Source organism: Homo sapiens, chromosome 1 (assembly GCF_000001405.40).
Source record: "Homo sapiens chromosome 1, GRCh38.p14 Primary Assembly".
Classification (NCBI taxonomy): Eukaryota; Metazoa; Chordata; class Mammalia; order Primates; family Hominidae; genus Homo; species Homo sapiens.
This window is the reverse complement of record NC_000001.11, coordinates 120,761,265-120,782,130: the sequence shown is the minus strand read 5'-3', so window position 1 is coordinate 120,782,130 and position 20,866 is coordinate 120,761,265. Positions and strand designations below refer to the sequence as shown.

Sequence of the window (20,866 nt, the reverse complement as noted above, 5' to 3'; positions counted from 1 at the left end):
GGGTTATTTCCAGGCTTCTTCACCTTTTTAGTGGTGCTTCTATGCTTAATAGTAGTAATAATAATCAGAATGACCAAAATTTTCTGCCTCCCTTCCCAGGTATATACCCGAAGTAACTGAAAACATATTTTCTAAGTACTTAACTATGTATTGTATATTTGCTAAGCATTTGATAGCTATTGTCTCTTGTATTACTCGCTCCAGTGCTATATTATAATCTCCATTTTATATATGAGGAACTCGAAGCTTAGAAAGATTAAGATTTTACAGCTAAGCCAGGTGCGGTGGCTCACACCAGTAATCTCAGCACTTTGGGAGGCCGAGGCAGGCAGATCACCAGGTCAGGAGATCGAGACCATCCTGGCTAACACAGTCCTGTCTCTACTAAAAATATAAAAAATTAGCCAGGCGTGGTGGCAGGCGCCTGTAGTCCCAGCTACTCGGGAGGCTGAGGCAGGAGAATGGCATGAACCCAGAAGTTGGAGGTTGCAGTGAGCCAAGATCGCGCCACTGCACTCCAGCCTGGGCGACAGAGCGAGACTCCCTCTCAAAAAAAAAAAAAAAAAATTCACAGCTAGTAGATGGAAGAGGCAGGATTCAAACCCAAGTAGACTCTAGAGTGCGTGTGCTTCAACACTAGGCTATCCTGCCTCCCCATCACTGGATGACTCCAGTTCATCAAAAACCTCTTTAAAAAGTGAGGCTCAAAATGGAAAAAGGCTTAACACATGTTCTTACCAGTGCAGCACAGAGCTGAACCATGACCTCCTGATCTGGACACTATGCTTTTACTATTTCAGAGTAAGTTCTTAAACTGAGGAGGCATCGTGAGAGCGCAGTTCAAGAAAGAATAATGCTCCGACTCATACCCAATGGATATGTGTACTTTTTTAGAAGCCACAAAATACTACTATGTGCTATGGAATACACACTCAGCTAAAATATTCAGAGCCTTATTTCACATGAACTACTAGTGTACCCTATTTTTCTCATCTTATACTTGTAGCACATGTTTTTTGAACCCAATAATTGGAACTATCATTCATTCCTTTTAAATCCATCATATTGAGTCTTTACTCCAAGTTTCCTTGATTGAGACAACTTTTACATTATACTCATACAATCACAGAATTTCAGCAGTGATCTCAGAAACCAAATGGTCTGAACCCCTATAGCACTGAAAAGGACACCAAAGCTAACTGATCTACCCAAAGTTGGTTATCTGTGAATCTAGCAATTTCCCCAGTTTTACAAATATATCCCTATCTTCACCTAGACCTTGCAATGAAACAGTACTTAACTGAAAGTGTATGACTAAGTCTTGCCCCAAGACTAGCACCTATTCAATCAGCTCTAACATCCTAAATGGACCAGCATCCTATCCATACCTCTCCTCTCCCTAAGGACAGTCTGGAAATTCCTTGCTGAACCTAAGCATATGACTAAAAGAATAATCTTTCCTAAGCATAATTTTCATGTCATTCTTCTGCTCAGAAACTAGCAACAGTATTAATACCAAGCCTTTCAAATCCAAGTTCTTTACAATCTCTGATCTGCCTGTCTGTCCCATTCCAATCATCTAACCATCTTACTCTTTAGTAATCCATAACTCGAACACTCCATATTATTTCCACAATCTTGTTTACTGTCCCCTATATTAAAATCTTTTTAATTTCCAGTGAGAAACATCATGCTTCCCTTCTGGTATATCTCCAACTTAGGTTCCTTTCTTCCACCCTTTTTTCAAAAATCTGCTGTAAACCTGTCCTATAGTAAGCCTTCTACAAATCATCCCACCTGTCTCTGATCCTTCCAACAGCAGATGTAGTGCCATGTCATGCACTACATTGTCTCCACTGGTATGGTTCTTCTTTATTTAAGCCACTGTTATGTCTTTGCTGTACCTTTCTCAAACTCCCATCTAGATAGTTTTTGTGGGGAAGAGCCTGTCTTGAACCCTTGGTGTAGGTTCCCTGAATACCTGAGTACCTAAACCCCACTAAGCAGCTGGTTCCATAGCAGGCTAAATTTCATGTGATGGATAAAGTCAGTCTCTCAATCCAAATGTTCCACAAAATCCATCTCTACTCTGTGATCTGCCTGGTAGAATAACAGGCCAAATCAACCTAATAGTCATCCTGAGGTACAGAATTATCCTTCACACCCCAGGAAGCTAAGCAGCATTATGGACATGGGAAGAAAGGGGAGTAATAGGTAAGACAGTCAGAAATAACAGACCCTTGTTTCCTAAGGCAGGAGATCTTTCAACTTGCAAATCCCTGTTCAACTGTGGTATAAGGAGAAAATATACTCTGTTAGTCTTGGTGGAAAGTAAGGTTCTCTGCTTGAAAACAAGGGCTTAAATAGCTGTCTTCTTGAGATGGCTAAAGTTGAATTTGGTTAGAGAGTGAAAACATGGCTAAACACCCAACACCCCTTACATATCTATAATTCCATTAAGCTACCCAGCACACATTTTGGAAAATAGTCTACCACTTGAACTAAAGGTGTATATTCTAAAAAATAACCACAAAAATCTAACAGATGCCTTTCATCCGCAAAACTATATGAATGTTTCCCTCCTGTAGGGAGTTTATTAATTATTTTCATAACTGTCTCTTCAATGTCTCTCAGTGACTTTTACTTACTCTCTCTTCTCTAGCATTGAACTCTGAAAGAACATACTTCGCAGATGAGGTTGTGAATACAGAGAAAGGTTTGGGGAGCATTTTTCCATTTTAAACTCCATAAACTAATCTGAATACTTACCAGGTCCATAAAGATGTATTTATGACTTTTTCTTTAAAAGTCTCAGCTGGGCACAGTGGCTCACACCTGTAATCCCAGCACTGTGGGAGGCCAAGGCAAGCAGATTGCTAGAGCAGAAGTTCGAGACCTGCCTAACCCCATCTCAAAAAAAAAAAAGTGTCATTTCTGACATTGAGAGGTCCACATTTCCATTGTTACTGTTCAAACATACGCATGGGGTTGGATGTAGAAAAGCAAAGGAAGGAAGAAAACAGAGAAAAACAAGGGATTCCTCCTAATGGAACTAGAAAACATTCCATTTGAAGGATACCCCTACAGTTTCCTCTCACTTAAGCAGATGAAAACCAGACCCCAACCCTCACATCTCACTAGCAGCCTGGATTAGTTTACATGTAGCCACTTTACAGATTTCAACGAAGCTGGGATCTGAATAGCAATTCCAATCTATCTGGCAATGGCTACAGTTCAGGATCAGTCTCCCTAGTAATACAGGACAGAAAAATTTGTTCTTTCACGTTTCCTAAGTGAATAGCCACTCGTCTACAGAAAAGCTTAAAACAGTGTAGCAGCTTGTGTCAGCTCCAAGATGACTGAAGTCTGAGCAGGAAATAAGCCCCTTTTCCAAATAAAAGCCAGTGTTCTCTCCCCTTGTTTTCTCCACCGAATGTTCTGTATCAGCAGGGTGAGGCCAAATTGCATCCAGGGCTTTGCTGCAGCTCTGTCTTTAGCTTTTTTTTTTTTTTTTTTTTTTAAAACGAGGATTTGGCCATTCAAAAAAAAACAACAACAACAACAAAGCAAAATCCCACCACATACAAGAAGAAAAAGAGAGGCATGCTTTACAAAACAGCTATTTCAAAATCATGATTTTTAAAAAAACTATACAGAATGTGGAACGAAGGGGAAAAAAAAGTCTCATGTGGGTTGCGTCGGCACTGAAGCTGCTCCTCATTAAAGCTCCTCTTTACTCCCTCTGGGCTAGTTTCCAGCAGAAAATTCTTTGAACAGAACTCTGCTTTCAACCCACTTTCTTCTTGCGCTGGGCCTCTTGGCCCCCCAATCCGCAGTGGCAGCCTGCCCTAGCTGAGCTCTAGAGGGGGGAGCTGTCATTAAGGTAAATGAGGTAAGGGCAGGGGAAAAAACTAACAAAACCCAGAAACCAAATTAAGCATCGGTCAGTAACAAAGGTCTGCAGTTTGAAAGGCTCCAAATCAGTCTGTTCTTTCCTGTGACCATAATGCCAGCTTAGTTTCCTGCCCCCCTACTCTGTCCCCCCTGTTAAAGTAGATAAAAGTAATTGCTAACAGCCAAGGCTAGCTGGAACCAGTGAAAGTTCCTATGTAACATTCAATTCCCAAGGCTCCGACTACAAACTTGTAGGTACCCCAGAGCCTATAGAATCAAGTCTAAACTTCTAGGCTGGCATTCAGGAGGCCTAACCCACCTATTGGTCTAAACTCACTGGTCTCCCTCCTTTCAGTACCTCCTGGCTGAGGTCTGATGGGCTTGTCAACTTTTTAATTCTCTCTGTGTAAAGGTAACTAACTAGGTTATGCTAATTACCAACTTTGTTTTAAAAACATGCATGAGGACTTCTAGTTAACTTCCTGGTAAAGAGGGGAAAAAAAGAGAAGAAGCTCTGTCATACTACTTCTTGCCATTCCCACTCTACTCTCAACCCCCCCTTCTCTCAAAAAAAAAAGAAAGAAAAAAAGGAAATACTATAGCTTACTCAGCAAGAAGGAAAAACAAAAAGAACTTTAAAAAAAAGTATTTGTGTATAGATTGGTGTCCAGAACTGGGACGCTTGTGGTAAAACACACTTTCTAGTGTAGTTTTTCTAGGGCCTTACTAGTTGTATGTGAAGAAACAAAGACAAGTATACAATCTCTCACTCTCACACACGTACACACACACATACACACTTTTATCACAACTAATACACAAAGACTACCAAATACTGCAGGGCAGCTCATTTTTCTACTATGTAAATTCAGCTTCCTGGACAGACCATTTCTGCTTTTCTTGTAGAAGTATTTCAGAAAATGTTAATCTTGGTTCCCACATTAGGTTGCATGCTTCCAAATTAAAAGTTTCCCACAGGAAAAGAACTTCACGAGGAATTGTGAGGCTGGGAATTATCTCTGAAACCCCACCTCACTTAGTTTACATGTGTTAGGTTTTTCACCCCCTCATCTGAATAAAGCATTAAATACACACTGATTTTAAGAAACCTAAACCAAAAAGAAGCTGAAGTGATACGGACTTTAAAGCTGTTGATTCACAGCATCATTCATCTTCACTCAGACTATGAAATCAGTAACCACTGCAATGAGAAACCATGCTTTATTTATACAAGAACTTTACAAACATCCTTATCTTCCAGTTTACAGTCTGGGCTCATTTATCAGAACTCAAAGGCTGAGCTGAGCACCTAGTCTCTTCAATCATCACTTGAAAGATTGGGAAGGGGCACACAGTGTTAAAAGACTTGTGTTGTTGCTATAACAGAAGGTGGTCTTTCCTCTGTGTTCCAGAACACAATCAGGATCTTACCATACTTCACTGCACTGGACCCTGAGAAAATATCTACTTGTGATTAAAACATGGCAAACACATTCTAGACATATGAGTTTACAAAAAACACCCTTCGATGTAATGGACAAAACTGAATGAGTTAGCTCAGTTGTTCCCAAGGTATGGGCTGTGGAGTTATTGCAAGGGATTGCAATCCTTATAAATCACTTTCTAAACTACTAAACAGTATCTTGTCCATATTTAAATATATGTATATGCTTTTATGACTAGTAAAACATAAAGATATATTAAATGATTCTTGAATTCTTAGATTTTGACAGTATACATTGTATTCAAACAACACACTGAGAAATTGTTTCATCTCAAGCTCTCTCCTTTATGCACTATACTCTTGCTAAACGCCTTTCAGCTCCTAGAAAATGCTATAGTACACTACTTCTCACTTCCAGACCTCTGTACACGCTGTTCAGTCAGCCCAAAATGCTTTTCCCCACTTTCTCATGGCTAAGCCCTAAAATTTCATTAAGTCTCAACTTAAATGTTATTTCCTGTGAAAAACAGCCTTGATACCCCCTCTGTTCTTAATAACCCTGAGCCTGTGTTACTCATTAGCCCTTATTATGATTATCTGTCAACAGACTAAAATTATTAATTCTCATACTCCCAGTGCCTAACACAATGACTGGCATATAGAAGGCATTCAACTATTCAGTGCAGAAGCAAAAGGTCAAAGTGAAGGGCTCTGTGGAATCTTTACCCCTTAAAAAGACCCTATAAATACACTTGAAGTTTGGGAACAACTGGGTTGAGCTATTTACCTAAAGGATTTTCAAAACTAATTAAGATTCCTGATATATAGACTACTTCTTAACCCCCACTCACCCCTATATCAGTCAAATTGGGCCAACTCCATGCAAAGTAGATTATTTTTTAATCACCTTCCCTCCCACCTACCAAATATGAAGTTAACCAACACACACAGAGAGGCATGTGTGCATGTGCAGACATACACACACACAGTCCTCATTCCCTCTTGCACTTTTATTAGTCTTTCATCGGTTGTTGATAAAAGACTGACTACATAAACCACCAGGGACCTGGAGCCCTGACTAAAAAAAAAAAAAATCCTACAAAGTGGTCTCAATAGCATGAACTGCTAGATTCTGTAGTGACTGCCATTGAAAATTAAAGAAGATCTCTAGAAAGAAAAGTGTTGGAGCCTTCTTTCCATTCCCCAATGTTGGTGGATGACCACCTTCAAAGTTCTGAAGTCCAAAAACTATCTAAAAGCAGAGTAATTTAAAAAGCTTACTGTTTAGTCTAAAAGGATTTTCCTAGATCAAAAACAACTGTACCTATTTGGATACCAAAAATGAAAAAGAAATAGTGCAGAATCTTTAGATTGCCTAATGGGATCTGGAGAAACAGCTCTTAGTCCCAGTCTACATTCTAATGAGTTATGTAATAAAGGCTAATTCGCTTAGCTGTATTACACCTCAGCCGCCTCACTTATAAAACAAAATGAGTGACAAAGGTGCTTTCCAAAGTCCCTTTGACCTCCTAAGTGTGATGACTCTATAATCTTGGCCTTTGAAGTCCCTTGGCAATACCACCCAAGGATGTAATGATGCTTGCTGATGTTAATGTTTGGGTGTTTGTGGTTGTATATGTCTTGACCACTGTCCCACTCCAAGCAGGGGATCCTAGGGTAAGAACTGTACTGTGTCTCTTTTTTAATATCCCTCACAGTGCCCATCACCCTCTAGGTGCACAGATAATTCAATATACACTTATGTAAATGAATTGTTCCACAACTCACACTTTCAGCTAGCCCCTCACAGATGCATAAGAAAGCAAAGAACAACCAAACAGAAGGAACAATATATTTAAACAAGATAAGGGGAATGAAAAAGAATCTTGTGTTTAAAAGGGATAGAAAGGTCTAACCATCTTCTATCCCAAACAACTGGCCAACATGAGAGCCTGTTTTCTTGAGCATAGAATGGTGGTAGGTATTTCAGCCTCTATGGAATCTGACCTGCTGATTAGTTATACAAGGCTAAAACTGACTGAAGTGTGTATGTAAGACAACGGTCTGGGAAGAGAAGCACTAAATTTAAGCTCACAGGGAATCAACCACTTAAAATGGTAAATTCAGATAGAACTTTATCCAGATTTCATTTTTATGCATCCTCTCTACAAGCATAAACGCTTATCTTACTCACTTCCCATCTCATGATGCTATCATCAATTCTTATAAAATTTAGAAAAGAATAGGTGATGTCTCCTAATTAGAGAGTTTGCTTCTGTCACAAACTGTGACAGTCAGTGTCAGCCTTTGCCTGGAAGAAAATGAGTCACTTTTTCATTAGTAATCAAGTTATGTCTATTTTTTAAGAGTGACCCAGAAATTCAAGGCCATGAGTTTCAGCAATACGAGACAGAGAATCAGACACCACAAACATTGTATACAAATAGAATTAAGACAGAAAAATTAAAGTCAAGGAGGTACAGAGTTACTTTTCAGGATGACTGAGGTTTCAGAAAGGGCAAGTTGCCCCGTAAAATATTCTCAAGATGTGTCTGGCTTACACAACGAGAACCAGTATTTCAAAATCTTAAAGTGACAGGCAGTTAAACGACTAAGGCACTACCATCGTCTAGGCAAGAGAATCTTAACCACCATCAAATGTTTTCCACACAGAATAGGCAGACCTAGTTTATTCTGGAAAATTGAGGGTTTGGATATGTACTATATAATCAGAGGAAACAAGCAGTAAAGGACCTGAGCTAATTTGGGGTAACCAAAGACTTGGCTAACAGATGCTTCCTTACTCTGGATCCCTCATATGAATCAGATCTGGCCAGCGATATGCTGGACAGAAGATATCTGAGGTTGAGATACCTGATTTCTCAACTAAGGGAATGAACTATGCAGTACATGAAAACCAACCCTCTTCTTAGTGCCTCTGTTTTCCTATCACTTCCCCTATCCCAATCCATTCTTGCTCTTGCCTTAGAGATTCTTAGATTCTGATTTTCCTCGCAAAACATGGCCACAAGCCTACCGCCTCTCTGTCTGGTAGAAGTACAAGAATCAAGAGTCAAGGCCAAAAAGGTCTGAGGGAAGGAGCATAATTGCTCCCAGCTGCCCTCTCTTCCTGTCCCCAGGTCCTCTCCTTCACCCTCACTCTAGGCATTCTACCTCCAAACGTTCAAGTTAACATGTGCTAAAGGAAGGATTTTCTAAATCACTTACCTGTCACTGTGAAACTAGATTAATCCACATACTGGTTTAGTAAAACCTCACACAAACCAGCATATACACAGAAGACAGCAATCAAGATGAAGAAAACGTTTGAAACTGTGTCATTAAGAAAATGTGATGAAGAAATTGGTAATGATTATTCCAGGAAATAACAGTCCCTTCTAGTCTCCTCAGCTCCCTTCCTCTCACCCTTCTCCTACCTATCCGTCTTCTAAGGCACCACTAATATTCAAAGATTTAGGATCTAAGCAGTGCACCAAAAGTCCTCTGATTTTACTCTTTTGTCCCACAGTACTTGTTCCTTTGTCTGAGTGTCCATAGTTATTATCTGTGCCCCTACACTGGGATATTACAAACTGTTTTATTTTACACATCTCTGTATGCTTCATCTCCCCAGCAAGACTTCAGAAGACTGCCACCATGTCTTATGCAGGAGAAACTGCATTCACTGTCAGACAGTCTCTGGGTACGTATACTTGTGAATAAGGAAGTCAGGTAACACAGGCCTCTTGGGCTTTTCTGGGTATTCACAATACCCAGTACAGTGATCAGTTATAGTAGCCTGCTCAATAAATACTAGTGTGATAAAAATTAAACTTTTGTTTGAAAAGTGAGGATTCTATAGTGCTTCAGAGTCCATCTAACTTTCAGTGTTCAGCACACAGGATTATAGACAGTGACTGCAGGAAAATGACCTGAATCTATACAGATTTAATACTCTAAATGCTACCATTCTACATAAATCCTAATCAGATTATTTTCTTATTAACACCTACCTTTCTCCTCATATTTACGTGAAGGCAAAAAACTGGATAGAATGCTCTAGTTGAATGTGTTCGCTGAATAATATCACCCATCACTTAAATAATGCCTTTCTTAGTCTTTATTTTCACTTTTCTTTCATAAAACTCTTTTCATAAAGATCAAGTAGAAGACTGTTTAGGAGAAGAGCATTTCGAGCAGAAATTAACTGCATTACTTTTTCATAGGAGAAGGCTGATGGAGTCTAAGAATTGGCAATACATTTTTGGACACAGAGGACTAAGTGCTAGTGAAGGTCACTGACAGTGAATAAATAGGATCTAGAAAATGTGCGGAAATCCAATAGAAATTTTAATTTACCTTACGTTGGGTTGTAAGGTAAAACTCAACTAAAAGAAATATGAAAACAAAATGCATAACACAGTCGCATGTGCACACATGTGTGCATACACACATATGACAGGAGGACGGAGAGACACTAAACTTCATTCCTAACTACTGTATGTTGAGAGGAGGCCTAATGAAAACCTCTATCACACCCACATATTTATGCTAGCTTAACAAATTTTAAAGTGCTTGGAAATTTTTAGATGATTACTTTTTCTCATATTCTGATATCCCCCATTCCTTTGCTATCATTCATAAGGGCAGATGTAGACAAAATTAAAGAATTTAATTAAGCCTCTCCATATCCTGAAAGAGAAATATTTCTCATTTTGCTTAGTCACAAAAAAAGGGAGAAAAAAAGAATTCCTGTGTGAAATTAATGGTGCTAATGAGACATGCCTGAATAAGAAACTTCACATAAGATTACGATTGACCTGGAGACTGTGTTGAAAGAAACCTAGCTAAATTCACATCTATTAATGCCAGACTGCAGGCCAAAATTTGTTGATTTAATTTCTTGGCAGTTACCCAAGACAGGTAAAAGGATATAGGCAGAGCCTAAGAACCAGATTCTCCTACTTCTTCACTGAACACTGAAATATATAAAGGTCCCAACTGAAAGAATAAAAATTAGTTGAAAATAGTATGGAAATTATGTTGCTATGTGTTAACAAGCTACTAACTGGCCAGGCACAGTGGTTCAGGCCTGTAATTCCAGCCCTTTGGGAGGCAGAAGTGGGAGGATCACTTGAGCCCAGGAATTCGAGACCAGCCTGAGCAACATGTGAGACCGTGTCTCTATAAAAAGTTTTAAAAATGGGAGACTGAGGCAGGAGGATGGATGGCTTGAGCCTAGGAGGTGGAGGCTGCAGTGATCCATGATTGCTCTACTGCACTCAAGCCTGGGCCACAGATGGAGATGCTAGTAACCAAGACTTCCTTTACAAAAGACCCCTTAGGGAAACATCATATTTGATAAAGGATTTTAATAGGACATAAGTATTAATAAGAATCACTTAGGAATGGTACTGTTAAAGGGTCCAGATCTCAAGTCCTAATACAAGGAAAAGCCTCACAGGACATACTCATATGCATCTGTAACTCACTATGCAAATGTAAGGTGCCATATTCAACAACTTGTGACTTTTGTGCTGGCAACAACATTTATCAAAAATCACTGAATTTAACCTGTCTCAATTTCACAACTGCATAAATCTGTCTGGACTTGCTCCTGTTCCATTAGTAAAAAGAAAGGAGAAGTTTCAAATTAGTTCTCTCTACTGAAGCACACTTTAATAGACAATATCCTCTATCCCCACCTTCACTGCCCTCTTCTTCTATTTCATCCACAGTTATTACATTGAGCTTTCATGTTAAAGGCCATTTCTCAGAAATGCAGTATTCACCAAACCTGGCCCATGTACACTCATGTAACTATATGCAGATTTAGTGTTCTAGAATGATATGAGGTACTCAGGCCTACCTAATGCTACTGTCTTTAAATTTAGAAATTACATAAATCAGTGTTTTAATCATATTCCTGATCTGAAAAGTCCCCTTTTTGTATACTTTCAAATGTTCCACACTTCCTTTTCAGAAGGTTCCATTTGAACTACCAACTTAAAACAGGTAATTCTGTCCCATTTTATTGACAGGCAAACTGAGACTCAAGGTGACAGTACATTTTCCACGAGTATATCTCAGGTTAGCTACAGAGTGATGGGATCTTGAGTGAATTATTTAACTTCTCTTAGCTTCCATATAGTCTCTCTCTCACATGAGGACTAAAGTAAATACATGTTAAACTACTTGAGAACAGACCCTAATATGCAATAATGTTAGCTAGCATTATAGACTTTAACTTGCCAAAGATCCAATTGTTAATAGGAATCAGGACTCAAACTTAAGTCTATCTGGCATAAAAAAACCTATGTCCTCGGCTGGGTGTGGTGGCTCACGCCTGTAATCCCAGCACTTTGGGAGGCCGAGGCGGGCAGATCATGAGGTCAGGAGATAGAGACCATCCTGGCTAACACAGTGAAACCCCGTCTCTACTAAAAATACAAAAAATTAGCCGGGCGTGGTGGCGGGCGCTTATAGTCCCGGCTACTTGAGAGGCTGAGGCAGGAGAATGGCATGAACCCGGGAGGCGGAGCTTGCAGTGAGCCAAGAAAGCGCCACTGCACTCCAGCCTGGGCCACAGAGCGAGACTCTGTCTCAAAAAAAAACAACAACAAAAAACTATGTCCTCTTCATGTCACCAGTCAAGGATCTTCCAGGACCCTTACTCCACTCACCAGTGCAGGCTGAACCATACTAGATCATAAGGCAAAAGAAAAAATCAGTAGTACTGATCTCCTTATTTAAAATTTTGATAATTTTCAACTTATTTTGCATTAATTTTGATTTTTTGAACAACTACATACAAACATTATTTTGATTAGTGAGTTTTTTGGCACTCTCTTAAATTTCACAAGAGAGGCCTGTGCCTTACTTGCCTCACCATGGTCCCAGCCCTGCCATTCACTGGCGGCCCCTGTACAGAAGGCCACATTATAGTCAGTTTTTTTCATACTTGGCTTTACTCTGAACCTCTCTAAGAAGCCCAAGTTAATGAACTGGTAATTATTTTATGACTTCCCAAAGAAGTGTGAAATAATATGATAACAATATTGATTAACTGCAACTACTACCACAGACTTGAGTTATCTGTTATATGTGGTACACATAAATAGCATGCAATAAATAACTCTTGAATTAATAAAACCTGAACACATTACATTTTAAGAAAAGATTACTCTATGAGAGGTATTTAATGAGCCAAAAAAACAGCATTCTTTGTTTTATGTTAAAAAGATAAATGAACTATGGAAAACTGGCCAAGCTTCTGCTATCATTTTCCAGAAAAACTATATACACAATGTTCAGCTAAATAGGCACCGTACTTGAAGGAACTAGGCTGGCAGAACCAGTTTCAGCTGAGAAGAAAGAGAAAGTAATTTAACAGTTGATATTTTTCCCTGTCTATTTCTTTGATCTGACAATGCCCCTGTGCCTCCCTGAATGCACTCACAAGAAGGTGAAGGAAAAGGGGAAATGCTGAGTCAGCCATGACTTCTGAAAACGCCTTTTTGGGGGAGAAGCACCACAACAGAACCATTGCGAATGCATCCTCCATAAAAAGCTAAGTTCTAAGGGATTATGAGTGTCTCTACTCTCTACTTACTATACAGACATTTACCAAGAAGACAAAGAAGGCAATGGCTCTAGTTTTTCTTGGATGGATTCAGGAAATCTGGACCACCAACATGACTGCCTAATCCTGGCAAGGAAAATTGTTAGCTGTTAATGTTTAATGTTTATTACAGCTAGCAGACAAGTTTTAGACAAAATGTGACACAAAGTTATATTTTATAACACTTTATATTTATAATAATTTACCTTAAAGTGTAGTTTTTAGATCAGCACTTTAGCAAAAAGTGGACATTCTCAAATGCAAGCACCCATCTACAGGAACGTATACAACTCACAGTGACTTTCTGCTGTTTTACAAACACTATGTTAGATATTTACCAAGTGGTATGTATGAAATTCTGAAAGGCCCCTTTATATTTCCAATTTTCATCATTAAAAATAATTGCAGAGTAACTTATATCAGACTAGCCCTCTTGCTCTGGACAAAATATCAAAGGCACTGGAGAATCACTGAAAGCAGGCATAAACTAGAAGGGATATAAGCCTCAGAAAAAGCGAAGCAAACTATATGAAACCCACATTTACAGTTTTGTTTTTTTTTTTTATCGTGAAGGTACACCCCAGTTCATGCAGCAGAAGAGGAAGAGTGTGCAAGCAGAAAACGGAAGTCCTGTGATACTGAGGAGTCAGAGGTATCTGGAGCTGTCACAGCAGCTAGAATATGAGGAGAAAAATTCCTGGAAAAGACAGAACCACAGAGTGGGTAGCTTCAAAGTATGCATACAACTCTGCTCAAATCCTTAAATAATTCCTGACTATGCATGAGCAAGATAAGATTCAGAAACCCAAGAGAAAGTAAGAGCTGGACGGCTGAAAAGACTGAGCAGAAGGCTCCTGGGGCTGGGAGGACAAGTTCTGCCTTAGAGGGGCTTAATGAACACCTCAGGGCTTGGTAGGCCCCTCACACTTTCCACTGAACCCCTAGAAGGGTCCCATCTTGGGAATAAGAGCCCTATCCCATGACTAAGATTTGTGTCATCGGACTAAGGGCAGAACAGAAGTAGGCCCACCCTAACGTGTCCTAAAACCTAGCATCCATAGGATCAAGATGATCTGCCAATCTTGACAAAATTCAACATTCTTTAGTGGGAGATAAACTTTAAAATCTATCACCCACAATGTCCAGTAAGTAATGTAAAACTACCATACATGTGTAAAGTAAAGGGAAGTCATACCCATGGTCCAAAGAAGGAGCAGTTGATAGAAATAGAAACACATCCATAGACAACCCAGTTGTTAAGAACCAGCAGACAAAGATTTTAAATAACTACAATAAATGTCCTTAAAATACATATTTTGTCAATTATACAAATCATAACCTAACCTACCCCCAGAATCCTAGTGAACTTGAGTTGTCCATGATCTTTAATCAAATTGGGATTTAGAATGGTTTATATTTGAAAGTCTGAAGCAAACAACAACTTGAAAGTGATTAATGACATCAAATTTAATTACATATTTACACCTCCCAGTAGGACAAGGGAAAGAATAAAATATCTTATCTCCCTGTAGTGAGAGGGCTTTATTAAGATTTGACAGTAGTTATTTAACAGCAATAATTGAGTTTTATGCAAGATTATACACGTTCTCCTAATCTGGCATCAAAATCTAATCACAGACTGATAGGGTACTTAGGCTCCTAACAGTGAGAAAAAACAGTGGAGCTGAGTACAAAACTAATCTTCAAAAGTAGTTATCTTCATCTGTCAATGTGATCTTATCAAGGATTTTTATAATTTCTATAAACAATCATTATATTTTAGCTGAATCAGTAGCATTATGCTGTCTAAACAGATAGTCAGATTCCTTCTATTTTAAAACACTTTCTACCAGTTCCCATCCCACCACTCACCACTCACCCCCACGCTGGCCCTGTAAAAGGAATTTGGCTTCAACTTTCTTTTCTTAATCCACTAAGCAATCGCATGAATAAAAAGATAATCACATGCCCTGCATGCCTGATAGAATTTTTTTAAATCTTCTAAGTGTTTTAATATTTATTTTCTATTTTGTGAAAATAATATTTACTGAACAAGCTAGATCATCTTCTTTCTCCACAGAAAAAAAGGTAAGGTTGGTGAAAATACACTGAAAGCTCTGCTAGGTACACATTATTTTTGCATAAAATTTTGCTTAAAATTCTGTGGAGGCTGGCAAAGCACTGTAGAATGATTGACATGGCTGCCTTGATATTGTTCTTGCTTTTTCTTTGTCCACTTATGTTGACCCTGCCACTCCTAAATATGCTAATATTACTTTTGCTGAGGTAGGGAATCACTCTCTTTATACAAGTTTTGTTGTTCATCTTGGTCTCCCAAAAGGATGGCCTCACCAAATTTTTTCTTACTCTCTCTCAAGGAGTTTGTTTCCCTCAAAACAGGAAAGACATCTGAGGGACATACCCAGAACTGTATCCATAAGCATTCCATCCTATCAACAATTAACAAGTAGCCAGGGACAGAATTTAGGCAGCTCCATTTTCTTTTTTTTTTTTTTTTTTTGGAAACACAGTCTCGCTCTGTCGCTCAGGCTGGAGTGCAGTGGTGCAATCTTGGCTCACTGCAAGCTCCGCCTCCTGGGTTCAGGCCATTCTCCTGCCTCAGCCTCCCGAGTAACTGGGATTACAGGTGCGTGCCACCACGCCCAGCTAATTTTTTTGCATTTTTAGTAGAGATGGGATTTCATCGTGTTAGCCAGGATGGTCTCCAACCTTGGTTGGAGAGTATGAGACTAGCAGCCCAACAGTCCAACAAAGAACTATTGGACTTCTTCCCAACAGTGACCCTTAGGTGTCCTCTCCTGGTAAGTGCTCAGAGATTAGTCTCCCCTAGAAACCTTCTTTCCCCATGTCAGACCAAAAATATATAGGCGAACACTTAGAACATATTTGAAATTCTCCATATATAAGTCACCAAGTTGAATGATCTTCAAATAGAACCAATTTGCCTCTCTGTATGGTATTACCACCCTGAATGCTATGTGAAGTAAATAAATTTTTTTTAAATTTTACTTTTAAGTTTTGGGATACATGTGCAGAATGTGCAGGTTTGTTTCATAGGTATACATGTGCCATGGTGGTTTGCTGCACCTATCAACCCGTCATCCAGGTTTTAAGCCCCACGTGCATTAGGTATTCATCCTAATGCTCTCCCCTCCCTTTCCCCCCACCCCCTGACAGGCCCCAGTGTGTGATGTTCCCCTCCCTGTGTCCATGTGTTCTCATTGTTCAGCTCCCACTTATGAGTGAGAACATGCCGTGTTTGGTTTTCTGTTCCTGTGTTAGTTTGCTGAGAATGATGGCTTCCAGCTTCATCCATGTCCCTGCAAAGGACATGAACTCATTCTTTTTTATGGCTGCATAGTATTCCATCGTGTATACATGCCACATTTTCTTTATCCAGTCTATCACCGTTGGGCATTTGGGTTGGTTCCAAGTCTTTCCTACTGTAAATAGTGCTGCAGTAAACACACATGTGCATGTGTCCTTATAGTAGAATGATTTATAATCCTTTGGGTATATACTCAGTAATGGGATTGCTGGGCCAAATGGTATTTCTGGTTCTAGATCCTTGAGGAATCGCCACACTGAAATTTTTAAAGGAGAGAACCAGTGTCTTCTTATTTAACATAAATAGATAAGAAACATGTGCATGATGGTATCTACTTAGCACCTTTTAGTTTAAGAAACACATTGCTGAACAATAACTACACCAGGCACTGTACTAGGCATTAACTATGCAAAAAATGCATAAGACTAAGACCTCACATTCTAGCAAAAGAAACACATCAACAAATGACCATAATGCAATGGGGTTAACTACCACAAGAGTTGCATAACAGAATAAAGCAAGCAACTAAGGCACCAAATGCCACAAAAAGACTAAACAAGATTTCAGTGGCCTACTCTAAGGTATTAAGTTCCCTCCCTTATTATCTCCAGTTGTATCTCCATTCTTAGAGGAGAATGCACCACATGTTTTTTTTTTCCCCCAGCTAGAAAAACTAAATGAGCAGCTCATAATAAGCTACATAAAACCTTTATTTCCAATGTTATCTTTATTCCAATCCAAACAACCTATTGTTAAGCTTTACTGTCATCACAGCTTAAAATATTTTCACTTTAGTGAAGAAAATTATTTCTGACTTGAAAAAAAAAATCTTGTTTATAACATTAAAAAACTAAATCCTGGTGTCAGAACAGATCTCACTGGAAAAAAGTTGTAATTACATTCCTGGTAAGAAATAAAAATGTGTTGGATAAACTCACTTAAAATGCTTACTAAGCAAGTACCTCCACCAAAGCAAAGAACAACTACTCCTCACAAAAATGAAGGAAAAGAAGAGAAATTTCATATTACCAAATTTTATTTCTCCAGCATCTTCCCTGAAATAAAAAGAATGGATACATATTCCTCTTAAAAATTTTCAATTGAGGCAGAAGAAAAAAAATTATTTGCAGGAAACCTAGAAAAGCTATTATGAAATTATCTCACAGCCTTCCTCAAACAAACAAAACGTCTTGGCTAGAGTAGATGGTTGGAGAAAAAGGAAAAAAAAAATGCTCTTAAGCCAAGAACTAGCCTACATTTTCCTTCATCCTTACTCTTTTATCCCCATATAATAATACACACCCAAAGCCCCTGCTCCCCCTCAATCTACACACATGCACACATCTTCCTCTCTCACTGTCTCACTTTCAGAATTAGATTTTTTACACTAGAAAAAAATATGAATATAATATTCACATATACTGGGCCGAATATTAAAGTTGATATCTATTTGGTTTTACTTAAAAACAAGATAATAGGTAACATGTTAAGGGGAGACTCTAAGAGTATGCCTTAATCTGAAAAACACAAGGGAATCTAATATATATTTTTTTATATATTTTTTTTATTTCTTTTTGAGACGGAGTCTTGCTCTGTCACCCAGGCTAGAGTGCAATGATGTGGTCTCAGCTCACTGCAACCTCCGCCTCCTGGGTTCAAGTCACTCTCCTGCCTCAGCCTCCCGAGTAGCTGGGACTCCAGTCATGCGCCACCACACCTGGCTAATTTTTGTATTTTTAGTAGAGATAGGGTTTCACTATGTTGGCCAGGCTGATCTTGAACTCCTGACCTCGTGATTCGCCCAACTCAGCCTCCTGAAGTGCTGGGATTACCAGCATGAGCCACCATGCCTGGTCTACCCCATATACATTAACTAGCCACTCACTGAAAAGTCTTTTTCATAGTGAGAAAGATAACAGTAAGATAGTAAGAAGTTCTTATTAGCCAATTATCTGGCATCCACATCCTTCCATCCTCACCCCCAACCAAAATCTGTACCAGGAAAGCTCAAGAACCAGTAACATTCCACAGAAGCATTAAAAATAGAGGAGTAGAATCAAATCTTGTCCAGTGTTCTATCGCAAAAAGAAAATATATGAAGAGAAAAACTTACTTGCAGTATCCTGTGCCACTGTGGTAGGTAACACACATTCCTTTATTTACACAGGGTTCATAGCCATCTCGACACTGCAATGCTAAAAATAAAAACAAATGCACATTAGAAGTAAGTCACTAATCATAACCCTCAGACACCAAAGAAGTGTAATCCAATCCAGATCAGCATTCATTCCCACCTAATCTGGGTTTCTTTTTAGAGTTTTAATCAGTTTTTTATGTTCTGGCTTCTAGCACAGAAGCCCATCCCAAAACTATCTTCCAACAATAACCACATTTGTGGTCTTGAATGATGCTCTTATTTCTCTGTGTTTTAGTATCTCCAGCTGTTACATCTCCATCTCCCAATTAAAAATTAAAGCCATACCATCTATGGCATGACACATCATCTTGGGATTTAGATACTTCAGATGAGTATTATAAGGATTCATCAATGAGTGTTTAGGAAAATGCTAGATAAATAATAGATCACCATTATACTGATGAATTACTTAGCCTTCAGGTGAAGTTTTAAAACAGACCGCTTCAAGAAGTAATCAGAAACAGCAATAACAGTAATTCAACAAACTAAAATTGAGAGCCTAGTATGCACCAGGCACAAAATTAGGATCCAGAAAAAAGGAGAAATGGAATACATAAATAACCGAATAAACATAATCTCTAGCTTTAAGGGGCCCATAAAAAGATGGGGAGTAGATCATGAATAGAGACTGCAGAGAGAGTATCAAAAGAAATAAAAGGAGAAGGCAATTTTATACATACAGATAAAACAAAAATTCTCAAACTGTTGATTCCCCCATTCCCTTTAAGAGACAATAAAAAGGCACTTTACCATCTGAGGCCCTCCCAAAAACAGACTTTTCAGAGAAAAGAACAAAAACAACAGCAATAGTAGACATTTTCATTGATTTCAGCCAAGAATGGAAGAAGTCTACTCGAAATCTGCCAATCACTTGCTGGATAATTACAATATCTTGATTGTTTAGCTTTTAGAGTTGAAATTTTCATCACCAAAATACATATCAAGAACCCTAACAACTGGAAAGGTAAGACAGAAAGAAACCTAGTCAAACAATAAATATCAAATTGAAGCTCATGAACTCTTTCTTGGAAGTTATTAAGATGTCCATCTCTTATGATAGTTAATGTATAAATACCTGAAAGCAAAACTGAGAAGTTCCCCCCTCCAAGTTTCCTCTAACCACACCACTCTATGCATAAATTGTGCAAGATCAGAGAGACGCTAGGCCTGGCCATCCCTGGCCACGAAACCAGTAGCCCAGGTGCAAGCTGGATGTCAGAACAACTCCTCCAACAACAATTACTGCATAAAAGCCCAGTATTGTATCCAGTAGTAGAATCATTTGAGAACATGTTTACAGAAAATGCATCCCATCCTTGAAATAATATTTTTAAATGGTAATAGTAATAATAATAATAGGCTAACACATAGAACTTACTAAATACCAGGCACTATCCTAAGTACTTTACATAAATTAGCTAACTAATTCAATCTTCACAACAACCCTTAGAAGTAAATTTCATTATACCCACTCTCAGGTGAGAAAACAGGGAGGATAAGTGGCCTGCCTACTGCCATGCCAGTGAGTTAGAAAGCCAGAATTTGAATCCAGAGACTCTGCCCTTAACCACCAAGATACACTGCTTCCCATTACCTGAAATTTCTCAGGATTGGCAGCGTGGATATTATTATACCCATTTACCAATAGTAGAGGCCAGAGAGAATAAGTGGCCTCTTTATGGGGCATTGCGCCACTAGCTGGTGGCAGTGCTGGGCCTAGGACCCAGGTCTCAGTAAAAGTCCAACCCATCTCTATGACAGCTGTTGGGATCACACAAAGAGTCACCAGGCTGCAGGCCCAAACAGGCAAATTCAGGAAGAGGGTCATCTTGTTGTCCATATCCCACTTCCCTGTAAGGCTCAAATGCTCCCTCTTCCCACACTGATAAGCCCAATGCAACAACTATAATTAAAACAGTTAATGTCAGGTTATTTCCTCCATACCAAAGTTCTCAAACTGATTTTTTCATTCTCTTTAGACACTTTTATTAGTTTCAGTGAGAACTTCCGGGGTTTTTTCTATTTACTTTTTTTCTTTAAATAAAATAATAAATAAATAAAACCCTCACAGTAGGAAAGGAATGTCCTGTAGGCACAGAAAAAGCTGTAGCTCTGTCCCCCTGCAGGAATCCTGGTGCAGTGGAGGGACTCAGGAGACCTGAAATCCTGTCTGTACCCCTAACTGCAAGCAAAGCACAACTTCATGGGGGCTCAATTTCCCTACCTGTACCAAGCTGAGAGCGAACTAAATGTCCCTAAAGGTTCCCTGTGATCCACCAGCAACAGCTCCCTCCTTATAAGTACATGAATGGCATGCCCAGTGCCTGAAGAAACCTGGAGTACATAATGACCCAGCCACCC

At 39.0% G+C, this 20,866-nt stretch overlaps 2 protein-coding genes across 4 annotated transcripts in view; both read right to left on the bottom strand.

The window, feature by feature from the left end:
* Nucleotides 1–20,866, bottom strand: part of NBPF26 (NBPF member 26) — a 118,285-nt gene that overhangs the window by 60,099 nt on the left and 37,320 nt on the right. For all 3 annotated transcript variants that reach the window (NM_001405520.1, NM_001351372.2, NM_001395637.2), the window contains exon 2: nt 18,422–18,503. In NM_001405520.1, the coding sequence (NP_001392449.1) occupies nt 18,422–18,503 (82 nt within the window). The remainder of the gene's footprint in view (nt 1–18,421; nt 18,504–20,866) is intronic.
* NOTCH2NLR (notch 2 N-terminal like R) overlaps nt 1–20,866 on the bottom strand; it is a 70,907-nt gene that overhangs the window by 12,721 nt on the left and 37,320 nt on the right. Inside the window, exon 2 of the mRNA NM_001396072.1 lies at nt 18,422–18,503. Within this exon, the coding sequence (NP_001383001.1) occupies nt 18,422–18,503 (82 nt within the window). The remainder of the gene's footprint in view (nt 1–18,421; nt 18,504–20,866) is intronic.